Here is a 15,161-nt window from a genome sequence, read left to right as displayed (position 1 = left end):
AATGTTTCTTAACTCCTCATCTGGAAAACTGTTCCTTGCCCCAAATCTTTTCTCCTCAGCTTAACACTATTTCTTCTGATTCTGTTGTCAGAATACAGTTGGAATACCACTGCCAGCACGTTTGACATATGCTAGGTATTAGCCCTCACCTGCAGATGGCAAAGCTCTTTCCTCATTCAATATGTCACAGCTGCATAAGTAAAACATTGTTATCACTCCCTTATAAAGGCATAAATTGTAAGATAAATTTTTTAAATTGAAAATATTGACCTATACCACTCTGAAAATCTAGGATATAACTGTCAAATTTTTAGAGGCAGTTAATTTCTTACTGATGTATATAGCTGAAGAAATGACATGAAAAAATAGTTAAATAGGATTAGTATAAAATATCCAAAGTATCCATTGTTTGAAAGTTTTCTCAAATTTATGGGGCTGAAGTTCATATGCATTTTATTTGGTTTTGTTCTGCTTTATAGGAATGGATTCATCTATTTTTAGAAGAGTCAGAGATGCGAGGAGAAAACGAAGCACTTGCTATGCTTTTAAAAATATTTGGGTGTATATGTGCTCATAAAGTTGCAAAATAATCAACATAAAATTTGGTTTTTTAAAAATGAGCATCTTTTCTGCAAGTTTCTTTTAAAAAGCAAATAACTTAATATCAAATATTTTTCCCTTAATTTACAATTACTTGAATATCAATATAACTAATTAGAAGCACTTTTTTCTTATTAGAAATATAATTATTTATCACAAAATTGATGTCATTACCCATTTTAGACAAATCTATTCCAACATGGTCTTGTTGTGCTAAAAAGAAAATAAATTCCAGATTTTCTGTTTTCTCTGTCTTCATTTTTCGATGTATTTTTCCTTTCAAGAAATACAGAGCTTCTGTTTATGAGAGATGCCTCATCGTTTTTCAGTTTAATTGCTGTGCTCACTTTTTAAATTTATTTACACATCCAATGTTATGCACATATTTCAGATGTTAAAAACGTTCAGGCCCTTATCCTTTCATCGGTGTCCCTTTCATCAGTTTAAGTGAAAAGTAAAGAAAATGGACCCAAGAACAGAGTTCTGGGGCTGTTTCCACGCCCAGGAGTCATAACTTCCCATCCACAAAACCTCTCAGGAAAGCTTTATTGTACTAGCTTCAGCTCCTGGCTTCGTTTCTCCTCCATCAGACACAGGCTTCAGAGGTGCAGCAAATCTCAAAGCAGCTCTTACCAACCATCTCTCTGGTAATAGTCATAGCCATTGTTTTTAAAAGGCTGAAAGAAAGTAGATGGCTGCCACAAAATGTGCCCTATCTGGTACTCCCCAATCCACGTTATGAAAAGGCCACATGATAGACCCAGCAGCTAGTAGAAAGGGTTGTGAGTTTGTATTTGTATGAAGAAAAAGAAGGAAAGAGAAAAGAACACAAGGGTATATTTCAGACAGGCAAGTATGAGAAAGGACAGCTGGAAACAGCACTTGGCTTTGACATTTGGGTACTGCGCTTCAAAGATTAGGAGGCATGTCCTTGCCTTGGGCACTGTTAACGACCTTATTGGCTGTGAGTTAATATTTGACAAAAGGATTTGAGCCAATATTAGCTGGTTGTCCTGAACGGGAACTCTTCAGCCGCTTCCTGAATACTTAGGGCTAGTTGGGATCAGTCAGACAGGGTTTGCACAAGTTCTGACTGATCAAGTCTTAATCAAACCAGAAGAATGAGAGCAGACTGGTCAAAACAAAAAGAAAACCAGAAAAGGAAATATTTTCCAGTGTAAATAGAAATTTTACTTCTACAAATTGATCAAGAATATTTTCAGATGATATTCTTTGGTGTTTGATAGTATTTCATAAGTTACAACTAGATGACTGGTTTTATTTTTAAATACTTGCCATTGTTTGTTGTGAGACATACATTATTTGCATTGAATTTTGATTTTTTATGGCCCTAATTCAACTTCTATCTCTTCTTTAGCCAGTGATTTCTTAATTAATGGTTGCCAAAAAATGAAGAATCAAATCTGATATGGGCGTACCTGGTCCTGAAACTTTTGTTTTGCACCATTCAATCAGCTGACTAAATTGCCATTAAAAAAAAAATTCTAGTATGCTTCTAAGACACTATAAATAATCATGACAATATCTAATAAAAATAGATGTCATATCAGAAAACCACAGTGGAGTTTAAACTTAGTTTAGCAAAATCAACAACTTCCTCACAAGACTGATGAACTGCAGTTACGTGTTTTTAACAAAAGCATTTCTAGCAACCAGATAAGCAAGTGTCTTCTTGACATAGACGGATGATAGCGCATGTGCCAGAAGCCAGTGGAAAATAGGAGCTGTCATCTAGAAAATGACAGAGCCATTTCGAGTCCCCCTAGATTAGCACTCCATCTTCAGCTGAGCAGATATACTATTAGTTGAAGGTCTATTGCCAGCAAATCAGAAGCAAGAGGGCAGAGCCCTATCTTTCTGAGATGACTGGAATCATCAGAGGCTCAAAGGCAGAGAATGCACATGATGACATCCCATCTTTTTGTAAGAGTTGTGCCATAAGAAGCCAATCAAATAAAAGTTTGATCACATACATCATTAAAAAGTATTAATATTTTCACCATAGAGACTAAACAGTATTCAAAAACAGTGTAAACTAGAGTAAATGTTTTTCATACCCTGTGTCATTCAAAACTGTCTTGCAGATAGGTACCTGATTATAACATTACAGGCTTTGCTACTTAGCTTTATGTAAATAACTGAGCGTGAGGATATTCATCTTCTCAGCCTCATGTCACTAAATAAACATTGTTGGACTGACCAGCGTCTAGAGAGGTAACTCTGAAGTTAAAAGGAAGGTCCAAAGTGCACTAAATTTAGCAAAACAGGTTTTCAGTGCAGCTGGTTCTGTCTTCAGCAAAGGCTTTTCCAACTTGTCCTGGAGCCCTCTGGGGACCACCTCTTTGTGTCTGTACTTAATGGCTAAGGATAATATGTTTCTCCCAAGTGGTCCTCTAGCAAAGATGGAGCATTGCTATTCTGTTAATGGCTAGATACTGTGTGGCACACTACTTATAACGCTGGTCTAGTGCCTGCTAGGCAGAGTGCTGCCTCGTGGTCAGCTACTAGGACGTAGCTGATTTCCAAGGATCAACTCAGGCACCATCAAGGAGGTCAACTCAGAACCATGTGGTCATGAAGACGGCCTCCACATCTGAAAGTGAAAGTTTCCACTGGACACTAATGGGCATACCAACAGTTGTGCTGCAAAACAAAACAAAACAAAAAACTACCTTATACACATTTTGTCTTAATGGCCTGGGTTAGTAAAAATGAAAGAAATACGTTTAAGTGTTCAGAAGCTAAAAATAACAAAGAAGCCAATCTCCCAGGGAAGAAATGACTGCCTTCCACTTCTGGGTAGTTAACAAAGGCATTTTAATTCTAACTTGGAGTTACATGAGGTGATAGTCTGTGTATAATTTAGGACCCTCTGGAGCTACATGAGGTGCCAGTTGTGTATAATTTAGAACTCTCTGGAATCTCCTTACTCCTATCAGGCCAAGAAATGCTACACAGATATTTCTAATTAATATTATAAGCCAAATAAAATCCAATTACATTGATGAAGCAACTTTAGAAAGAAGTATTCTTCTGACTACGTATTTTGCCTGTAATGACATTATTTATCTACAATGTAATGGATAAACAAGAAAATCCCCATTTTTGCAGCATTATCATTTGATTTCAGGTCTGTCAGTTTATATCACACAAAAGCCTCCTTTCCCCCTCTCTCTCCCACGCTTTTCTTTTTGTCAATGACATTCCCTGCGATGAGCATTCCAAAAGAATAGCGTTTGCTTCTCTCGTCAGCTTGGTTTTGTCAGTTCTGAACACAGGGTCTTGCTTTGCCATTTTCAAGGTCTCTTTCAAACCCTGGATCACAGCTGGTGCTTCAATCACGAGTTCACACCATGAAGAAGCTGGCAGTTGATCCCCAACCAACTCTGCGGAAGATATATAATCTCTTTCATGGCACACAGTGGAATACGCCTTTCATTTCATCCCTGAGAAAGACTGCATCCTTCACAAGTCCTTCTTGACAAAAATATTAATAATGTCCCAGCCTCCTAAGGGACAGGAACATTTTGGGGTTTGAACTGAAGTGACCTTAGCTTGTCAAGATGATTTGACTTTAAGAAACGCAACAGTGAATCCTGTTTTCTATTGTGATTTTAAAATCTGCCATAGTAATAAATTTAAGGACATTTTAATTATGGTTATCATGACTAAATGTGCCGATATGAATGAGTGGAGGTTTTATAAAAGAAATATGCTCATATAATGGAATTAATATTCTTCCCCAATGTACAATGTGGAATTTGTTGTAAATCATTTTCAGAGAATCTGTTTAAGATAATATTCTCAATGCTTAAAAAGTGTTTTATTTATACATGGGGGATGAGAATGAAAGAAAAATATTTAGTGACCAGGTAGGAAGAAAAGCCTAGCAATGCTAGACAGATGTGATTTCAGGATTTATATTATTATCTGAAATCAACATTGAAAGTTAGTAGGCAAATCAGAAAACTGAATTGGAATACAATCATACATAATAAGAATTAAGGATCTGAAGTAAAATTCTCCTTCCTTTGCTGTTAACTATTTTTTTCACATTTTGTGGCTTTACTATAGTATTTGTTTAGCAATTAATGTTCTAAGTTGTAACGCATTCAAAGAAATTAAGCCTCCCTCAAATACTGGTATAGGCTGAATCTAAATATGCCAAATGAGGCAGAGAAGTGGTAGATTAGATGCCAAAAAATCACTTTGACCTCAATTATCCAGGTAGTATTTCAAGAATCACTTTGCATGGCCAAAGAGCGTGTAATCTAGTTGTCTTCAGCATAATCACCATCTTCTATGGAAAACCATCTTTATACATTATACCATCTTCCATTCACAACCAAATCAGAGCCCAAGGTTAAAAACATAATCTCTCGGTGTCTTCAGGGTGAGAATGAGCTTTAAAGTCCCATATTTCTTGGGTAATTACTCTTATTATTAATGTTATGTGTAGCAGAAAATGAGCATTTTAAATACCGCATTTGTGAACATAGATGTTTTTCAATGAAAAAAAGCTATTTTGTAAGGTTACTCTAATAATGACCAGATATGTATTCTTATGTCACCACATCTGAAATTTGACCAAAACCAACAATTAAAAATATCACCAGAGGTGCTGGGGGAGGGAAAAATGGGAAGTAGTTGTACAATGGGGATAGCATTTCAGCTTCGCAAGGTAAAAAAAGTTCTGGAGATCTGTTGTACAACAGAACTACTGAACTGTATGTTTTAAAATGGTTAAGATGTTAAATTTCATGTTATATGTTTTTTAACACAATTAAAATTTTGTCAATATTTAAAAAATACTATCAAGGGGCAAATTTCCCTGGAACTAGGCAAATGGGCTAGGTGGGGTGAATTATCTACTTGCAAAAGCCAGTTTTAATTTATATGTGGCATTTATAGAGAATGCTGGTAAAGCTGCCAGAGGGGTCAAGGAAAACAAGCAACGAGAAGATGATCAATGCCTTTGTCTCCTTGAATAATTTTGATTTGTGCAGAATGTCAGAAATCACCTCTCAGAAAAACCTCTTATCATGAAAAATATGGCTGGAGAATCTATGAAAAACATTACTCCCTAACAAGGCTTATTGATTCTCAACACCATCATTGCTTAAACATTGACAAGGCCAAGTTTCTAAATGTCAGATATGCAACAAGGACTGCTTGGATGAAAGTACAAGAGAGGGAAAGATGACTTGTTGAGCTTGCACTGAGTGCTTTACACGTGATATTTCATTTAATCTTGTGAGGTAGGTACTGTTAATTCCCATATTTCCAAAAGAGGAAATTGGATCTGGGAGGTTAAGAAACTTGTCCTATTTCACCAAGAGAGAACTGACATCATTAGAAATGGAACTCCAATTTAAAGAGTCTGATTCAGTTCAATCTTAATTTTCAGTCTAATCTTAATTTGTTACACCATTCTGGAAAGTCAAAAGTGAAATTGAAGGAGAGAAGTATAACTAGTTTCTCCTGCCAGCTTTCATACTCTATGATGGTTGTCATACTCTATGACGACTCTCTATGAACCCCGGTCCCCAGGACTCTAAGCCAGCCTTCTTGAGTGACCATCTACCCATCACTGAACTGCATTAGTCATTATCTTATAATCCATCCTTTCAGCAACCAATCATCAATATCCTAATTCTTAGGCACAGAAAAGAATCTAACAGTCTAGTGAGAAAGCTGCCTGTATACAAAGGTACCTGTCACAATGGGAGTATGCCCAAGGTTCCATGTGGGAAAAATTAAAACACCAAAATGGAGGAAGGAGTTAAAGGAGAAGGAATAGATGGGATATAGTACCTACAACCAGGGGCAATGAGAATTACAAGTGTGTTTTCCATCTTCCAAGTCCAAGGCCATATCCGAGGTCCACCTCTGAATTTTGTGAGCAAGATTCATAAAATTTTTTGGAAATTAAGCAGTACTTAGCATTTTAATTTTTGCCATATTAGTATCTGACACTGACCAAATGACAGACCAAGAATATTTCTTATTCTGTTATTGAGGACTAAATAGGGTTCTTACTTAGAAATCAGGTTGTTGAGGGGTGGGGAGGTGGTGGCTGGTAACAGGGAGATGGGAGCATAAGACTCTATTATTTGTGAAAATCCAAATTTCTTAAGTAATCTTTGTTGGATATAAACTGACAATGTGACCTTTCCCCTATGCATACTGTAAATGTATAACATGGTAGACAACTAAAGCTTCATTCTTTTGTCTTCTTTCATTATTCTTTCATGAATTGGAAATACATCTTCCAATTTTGTATCATGTTTCATATATAAAACATGACAAACCTTGTAATATATAACCTATATAATATATAACCTTGGAATATATAACCTATATTTTATATAATATTATAATATAAAATAGATATCACATAATTTTCCTACCAACTTAATTAGGCCTCCCAAAAGGATTACCTTAAATACACCAAAATGTGATTTGTTGATCATACTTGGGAGAACAGTTTTAAAACTCCCCGTATTGCCTTGGGCTTTCTTTGGATTTCTTGGGTCTGATTTTCACAATAAGTTACAATAGATATGCTGATGGGGGCCCGTGGAATAGGGAGCATCACTGGACAGATCCAGGCTAAGGAAAGCTTGCATTGCAAGTGGGTGATGCTGAACAACTCTCAGGGGGAAAAACAAGAAGAAAGCTAGAGAGGTTCACCAACTATAATTAGCTCCATTAAATCCCTTTAACTGAATTTCTAACATGCTGTTTAAAGAATGGAAACATTTATGGGAAAAGGTAGCACACCCCTTTTTGGTCACTGTTATTGGATGTAAAAAGCAAACTACATTTACAGGTCCCATGGCTATCAAATCTATTTTCTCAAAACAAAGTTTTCTTAGCATTGTTTGTTATCCAGGAAATTTCACAGCTTTAAGGGACCCAGACTTCAAAGTCAAGGAAGTGAATTTGGGGCATGGAAGACTGGGGGCACCGAGTGAAATTACCCATCAGCATTAAAAAATTACTAGATTTTTTTTTCTGGTCATTTGTTGACCGCAGAGTCAGAATAGCTACATATAATTTTGAAAGCATGCATGTATCTTTTTAAAGACGCATAGATATATTCATTCGCTTTATCATTTCATAAAAAATCTGGCCGATCAGACGAATACTGTTTATCAGTTGTTGATGGAAAGAACCTTCCTTTGCTAAACATTGTGTAGGAACAGCAGCATGACCCTTGGGTCATGGGATAACACTTGTGCACTCATGCTCACAGGGGCCTTTTTTTGTAAGTGGCACCTGCTGTGAGGCTCTCCTTATAAATACTGACTGCCTGCAGCAAATCACATATGTTTTAGGCACTAGAAAAACCGACAGGAAGTAATCACTAAACGAAAGACAGAAACAGTAAGGGGTATGTGGGGGGAGGGGGAGAAAAAAAGCCTCCAGTAACTGTTTGGGGGATGTTTGGAGGAATTAATTTAAAGTGTAGAGTATAAGTAGCCTTGCTGTGCTGCTCAATTTGGCCCAGACCTCAGCTCAGCTTAGCTGAGAAGGCACAGGGCATCTAAGGAGGATGGGACGTCGTTACCTAATATGAGTGGGGGCATCAGGCTGGAAAATCCCTTTCATTAGTTTTGGTAGTTTGAAGTCCTTAACAATTTTAGTTGTTCTTGTTATTTTGTGGCATTTGGGTTTTTCCATTGAACACCTTCCCCATGATTTTAAGTGTGAAAATAAATGCTTTTATTGTGGTGCAAACCTTCCTTATTAGCCAAAGACCACTTCCCTTTATGCTTCCAGGGGACTGCCCCCACCACCTGGTGTACTGAACGTTGGATGTTAAAAAAAAATCATGCTTGAGTTTATCTTGTTTTTACACCAGTTTATTTTGAGTGTATTTCAAAGCCATATAATAACATTATTTTATAGACTTCCAATTAAGTGCTAACAAAGAAAATATTTGTCTACTCTCCATTCCCCCAACAATTTCTGGACCTCATTTCAAAGAGATGCATGTTACCTGAATGTTAATTGCTTTTTTTTTTTCCCAGAGAAACCAAAGCATGTTGTTTGTTTTCAGAGGAGTATTTATATTTAATATGTTTACATTGAAGTCACATTTGCTCTCTTCCTTAAATGACTTCTCTAATAACTATTTTTAGCTTACAATCACATTAACAATCTGCCCCTAAAGAATTCCTCAGTCTTATTTTTTATAATTTTTATTTTAATATTTGACAGTTTCTTTGTAAAAAGGAAAGAGCATTTGAAATAATATTGGGTATTTTGCCAAGTCTGTCAAAGGAGTAACACTTCCACTTTCTCAGCTCCGTCTCATTAAAATTGTATTCTAATTCTGTCTTAACTTGGTCTCGGTGCTTCATAAGTCATTGCCTGCTCATTACTTGTAGTGTGGGAGATGAAATTTATTCAAACCTAATAGCTGAGATAAAGAATGGAAAGGCAGGCAGCTGGCAGAAATGAAATTAGCCTATTTTAGTACTTTTCCGGCTGGATTTTTGCACAGCCACCAGTTATGCCATGTGTCAGTTTGCATTTGTGACACTATCTATGTTTAGTTTATAGATTTCCGTTAGTATGATACTCTTAAAATGAAAATACAGGAGATTCTCCCCTTCCCCCCCCCACCCCGCCTTTTTTTTTTTTTTTTTTTTTTTTGTCTTTGGCATTGAAATGTCACTGAGTATCTGAGTTGATAAACGGGAAAACATGATTTTCTATAGTTTTCTATAATTATAGAATCATTAAAATTGCCCAAGAAAGATTAATTGTTTCATTGTGTTACAATTCATATTGGTATGTCTTACAGAAAAGAACATTAATGACAGAGAGTAAATGTTATACCCTCAGCATGGTTTGAGGGGAAATGGATTTAGAATGTAATGTGACTTACAAGCAATTTCAGGTAGAATACAGGAGGGAGCTACGCTTCTAACCTAAACACTCCATCTCCAGCTTTAAATGTCAAAAGAATACACTGTGGAATTCCTAATTCTGAATATAGAGGAGTATTTGAAGAACATTGTCTAAAAGCATTGTACTTTTCCATTATAAATTGAGTTGTTAAGGAATTATATGGTCTAATTACTAAACTTGGTATTTTTGACTACTTTGATTATGAACATACATTGTCATTAGCTAGATAATTAAATTGACTGCAATAACAAGTCATAATTTAGAAATATGTTTGAAATTACTTTCTATATGAAAGCAAAGTCTTTGTTGATCTATGTATGTGATTAATGTCAAGTGTCACGAGTTAGCTGAGAGATTTCAGTGTAAAAATATGTGCATTTATATAAAAGAAAGAAGTTCATTTATACTCTAATTCTTAAAGTAAACAATGGAGCTTGATATGTGCCTAAATGTAAGTACTGATGGATTTTTTTCTGCTTACTCAAAGAAAATATAGGAAGAAAAATACTTTTCTTAGAAATGTGATGGTTATGTTTAGGTTAGGTTTAACCATTTATGCATACAGTGCAATGTTTACACTCAACCTAGAAACTTTACAAATAATATACTTAGATTTAAATTTAAATAGATAGAACCAGTCAAAGTATTACGTAAGATATGTGGACATTTCTGTCAAACCCACTGTAGTACGAAATTACAAAATATTTTATGTGACCAATAAATTGTGCAGATAAGCAGCGGACCACAGTCATAAACAAACTTGTCTTTGTTGTAGGTATTCTCTGGTAACAGTAGCTGGATTAGAAAGGTGACCTTCTTGAGAGCATTTAGCATGGTGGATTTTTATTTGCTTTTTATGTCTTTAGCATTGTGAAATTTTGTTCGCGGTTTTTGTAAACCATCTAGCAGAAGAGTAGGTCAAGTTATAATCTAGGACTAAACTAGAAATCAATAGACCATACAAGGCTAAGCCCTGGTATGATTTAATAAATTCGGTCCAATGAATTATGTAATAAATAAACTATGCAGTGTGTTTGTTTGTGTGTGTGTGTGTGTGTGTGTAACGTAAGTAAATGTCAAATACCAAACTGATGTGGATGTAAACAATTATATATAGGGTTTGTTCCTAAATATGTATTTCTGGATTTCCAGATATACAGCAATCATATGCTATAACTAATATACCCAGATCCATTCGAACTCCATCTGTATCCTTTCTCTTCCCCATCTTCGCCACTCCAGGCACTCGGAATGCACACATATCCCAGTCCTATTGCTTATATAGCCTCTATCAAGCAAATAAAACATAACAGTAATGTGAAAACTGATTTGTTACTCAACTAGAATATTTTTGATGCCAAGCTTGGGTCTACATCAATTTCAAATTTGCAATTTGGGACTCAGAAATTGACAGACTAATGGGCTCTGTCAAGAAACATACTAAAGAAATGTAGCATATGTTCCTACAAAAGACTTTGATCTATATTCTCATTAACAAAACATTTTTCCTTTTTTCAGGCTATGAGAATCTGGTTGCCAATTATACTTAAATTATTATGTTTGGCCCCTTGATTCTTTTATCAACTGGATGTCTTCATAGAAATAACAGCTGCATGAGCAGCACTTTTTCAAAGCAACAAGGAAAGAATCTATTCCCACCCCAGAGTCCCACATTAGCCAGTTCCTTCTCACCAGAGAGGAACAAAAAATATCTACAGAGGCAATGAATAAGAGAGGAAAGGGCTATTATAGATCTATTGTTAGTATAATTCCCTGCTGTGGCCACTGGTCCTTGAGGTTGTGTTCTTTGCTAGGGACTACTGGTTGTATCTGTCCTTTATGGCTGGTGGTAGTGGTTCAAATCTATTTAGCACTAATGGCTGCGGCAGTCAGTGTCAAGAAATTTGGTTGATGACTCAGATTTTGAACTTACCCTCTTCTCTCTTGACATTCTGAGTTCTTCATATTTCAACAATAGTTGCATACCTTCTCATGAATGCCAGCCACATTAAGGCATTTGTGGTATCAGATCTCAAATCTCAGATCTGTGGTATCAGAGAAAGCAGAAGTTTCATTGGACTATTACCACATTATTCTTATGAATAGGCATACCCACACCCCCTCCCATTAGCTTTAATGCATACAGCATAAAACATTATGTATCTGCTTCTCATCACTCTCTGGATCTTCAAAAACTGTTTGCCCTTCTAAATATTTTTTCTTGTCCACTTTTTTTACTTTTATATTTCATTTTCTTTGGATATGATTTTATCTTTCTTTAACTAATTCCAATGTTTGAATCAACTATTGCAATCATAAAAAGTGCCCTAAATCTAAAGATTTTCATGCTCTGAGAGTCCTGATTCAGCATCAGACCTACTAACTGGCCTCTGTCTGTGAAACCTGAAAGGATCTCAAAGAAGTAACTGATTTCTAATCAACAAATACATACCCTCTTCAAAGGCAACATCTCCTCCCAGCTTTTAGAATTTAACATCCAGTATCCTCCCACATTTTTACTCAACCTGGCCTTCCAATCTATTTCTTCTATGTCTCCTTTACCAACATGCCTTTATACTTCCAATATATTAGTTCACTTAGTCATCACAGATGAGCAAACCAACTCAAAAACATCAAGCACCTAGCTCTAAAATGACTTCACCAAAGATACACTTTGACAAAATAGGTCACATTCAAGCATAAGGTATATTTCCAAATTTGTTAAAAAACAAATTTCCAAAAAGATAAAATCATGACTCTCATACAAATATAAAATAAACACATGTCAAAGATTGTATTTAGCTCATTGAGAGAACTGATAAGCGATTGCTAGTTCAAAGGAAAATCCACAGAACAGACACATATATAGATGAAGAATAGTGAAATAAATTCACAAATGTGTAAAAAACTGGTTTCTTCGACAATGGGGAAGACAAGTTGAATCTTCACAAGACAGAATTGATTTGCATGTTGAAGAAAAACATCATTTGCATTACTACCAGTTTTCTACAAATTACTTTTAACTTTACACCGTTGTAAAATGACACATATCCTATAAAGGACCAAGTAATCCTGGAGGTTCCAGCATTTGTTGGAGACAGAAACAAGATTTGTTTGATTCTCTTTGATTCAACAAATGAATGAATAAACACCCTTGATTATTGTATTTAGGATTAATTATTCATTCATTCAACACATACTGTTTCTTACTTACTATACCAGTCCATGTTCTAGGTGGGGGAGACAGTACGGTTAATAAAACAGAAATATTTTTGTCTTATATCCTAACGGGGAAAAATAGAACATAAGTAAATAAATAAATTATAAATATATATTAAATGGTATTAGTGCTATGGAGGAAAATAAAGCAAAACAAGGTAGATAGAATGGGGATAATACAGGGAAAGGTACTGTTTTAAAGAAGATGTTTAGGAAAAATTACACTGATGTGGAGCTACTTGAGCAGAGACATGAAGGAAGTGAGGGTCAGAGTTGTACAAATTGCTGGAAAAAGAGCTTTCTAGGCAGAGAGAAGAGCAAGTGCAAAGCCTGAGACAGTAGAAGATTCACGTATGTAGGGCCAGCAAGGAGGCCAGCATGATGGGGCAGAGTGAGCCTGCAGTCAGAAGGGACAGGGCAACAGAAACAGGCAGAGATAGAAAGATGGAAGCCCTTGAAGGCCATGATAAAGACTTAGTGTTTCGAAGTGTTACAGGAGGCAAGTGGAAGGTTTGGGTCCTGAGAGTGGTGGTAGCAGAGGAGACGGGAGGAGAGGGGATTATGCTTTTCACTGGCTGCTGTGGGAAATGGGGCCAAGATTTATTGAAGATTAGTTAGGGGGGCTCTCACAATCTTATGAGAGATTACAGTGGCTTGGAGTAGAATGTAGCTGCGGAAATATGAGAAGTGCACTCTTTTTAGCTATTTTTTTTTCTTTTTGTGTGTGTTTGGGTTTGTTTGTTTGTTTTGAGATACAGTGTTGCTTTGTTGCCCGGGCTGGAGTGCAGTGGTGTGATCACAGCTCACTGCAGCCTCAACCTTCCGGGTTCAAGCGAGTCTCCTACCTTAGCCTCCCCATAGCTGGGACTAGAGGTGCATGCCTGGTTAATTTTTTATGTTTTGTTTTGTTTTGTTTATTGCTTTTTTCTTTTTGTAGAGACAGGGTTTCACCATGTTGGCCAGGCTGGTCCCAACTCCTGGGCTCAAATGATCTGTCTGCCTTGGCCTCCCAAAATGCTTGGATTATAGGCATGAGCCACCGGGCCCAGACGTTTAGCTGAATATTTTAAAGGTGAGGCCAGCAGAGAAATTTCTGCTCCAACCAGCAAGAATAGGAAATAGCTTTGCAACACACACACACACACACACACACACACACACACACAGAGCCCACCTTTTACTCTTCAAAATTATTTCCTACTTCAAAGAAACAAATTTGTTGAAATGCAAAAATATTCCCAGACGATTTTTTTTTTTCTTGAGACAGGGTTTCGCTCTTGTTGCCCAGGCTGGAATGCAATGGCTCGATCTCGGCTCACTGCAACCTCTGCCTCCTGGGTTCAAGGGATTCTCCTGCCTCAGCCTCCCAAGTAGCTGGGATTACAGGCGCCCACAACCATACCTGGCTAATTTTTCTATTTTTAGTAGAGACGGGGTCTCGCCATGTTAGCCAGGCTGGTCTAGAACTGCTGACCCCAGGTGATATGCCCACCTTGGCCTGCTAAAGTGCTGGGATTACAGGCGTGAGCCACTGTGCCCAGCCCCAGAAGATTATTTTTATCATCTCTCATGAAGCGTGTAGAAAATTAACCTGTCTGTGCCTTTTTTTTCTTTTTTACTAAGTCCGTAACACAGGTGCTCGTTTGCAAACCAAAGAGCTTTATTTTGTGTTACACATAAAAGGGCGATTGAAAGAATATCATTCAGTTATGGAATCTATGGCAAATGGAATCAAGCTTTTTAAATGGGCAGGGAAATATGTTTCCTAGATTTTTCCATGGGAGAGGTAGAGGAAGAAAACCTTTTTTCCTCTGCCCTTCTTGGGTCTCTGCCTGGAGCCCTACAAATTGTACTGACAAATGACAAATTAATAATCGAAAACAGAATTGTATTGACAAGTTCACCTCTCATATGTGTCAAAAAGTTAGTTAGAATTTGAAGTCTATACACCTAACTTACTTAAAAGGGAAGAGAGAAAGAGCACTTAGAGAAAAGCAATGACATTTTGGAAAGCCAAAGGAGCCACAGGTGACTAGATGGGAGATATCATGATGGTCTTGTGAAAATGTCCTGTTTGGGTGTAGTGCTGACTTCTCCTCTCCGGGAAGAAAAGATTAGAGATGCTCCCACTAAGGGGATTTCTGACAATTTCATTCTTTTGAGTTCCTTTTGGTATGCTCTGCATTTAGATAGATGAGATATTTATTTCAGAAACTCAAATGCCTTTGGCTCAAAAGTAATTCTTATACCAATGTAGCATATTTTGGGGTGGCACACCCTGATAACGTTCAGAGATGAATATGAAAATAAGTGTTTTATATACAATAATAAAAATCTTAAAAAGAAAATCAATTTAATTAAATAAATTAAATGAATTAATGTATATAAGACACAAAAAT

The 15,161-nt window shown here is 36.5% G+C and overlaps 3 annotated features.

Annotated features, from left to right (window-relative positions):
- Positions 2,207-2,407: a silencer, noted in NCBI's record as "peak5452 fragment used in MPRA reporter construct". NCBI's record gives its function as "represses an SCP1 promoter by STARR-seq MPRAs in K562 erythroleukemia cells {active_cell/tissue: K562}" and the evidence as "EXISTENCE:reporter gene assay evidence [ECO:0000049][PMID:32103011]".
- Positions 7,869-7,918: a silencer, noted in NCBI's record as "silent region_16280". NCBI's record gives its function as "represses an Ori minimal core promoter by ATAC-STARR-seq in GM12878 lymphoblastoid cells {active_cell/tissue: GM12878}" and the evidence as "EXISTENCE:reporter gene assay evidence [ECO:0000049][PMID:35858748]".
- Positions 10,883-11,641: an enhancer, noted in NCBI's record as "OCT4-NANOG hESC enhancer chr5:124338542-124339300 (GRCh37/hg19 assembly coordinates)". NCBI's record gives its function as "activates a minimal SCP1, AML or CMV promoter by ChIP-STARR-seq in naive H9 embryonic stem cells {active_cell/tissue: H9 hESC(naive)}" and the evidence as "EXISTENCE:reporter gene assay evidence [ECO:0000049][PMID:30033119]".

Source organism: Homo sapiens, chromosome 5, assembly GCF_000001405.40.
Source record: "Homo sapiens chromosome 5, GRCh38.p14 Primary Assembly".
Classification (NCBI taxonomy): domain Eukaryota; kingdom Metazoa; phylum Chordata; class Mammalia; order Primates; family Hominidae; genus Homo; species Homo sapiens.
The sequence above is the reverse complement of the archived record's forward strand: the minus strand, read 5'-3'. Positions and strand labels throughout refer to the sequence as shown.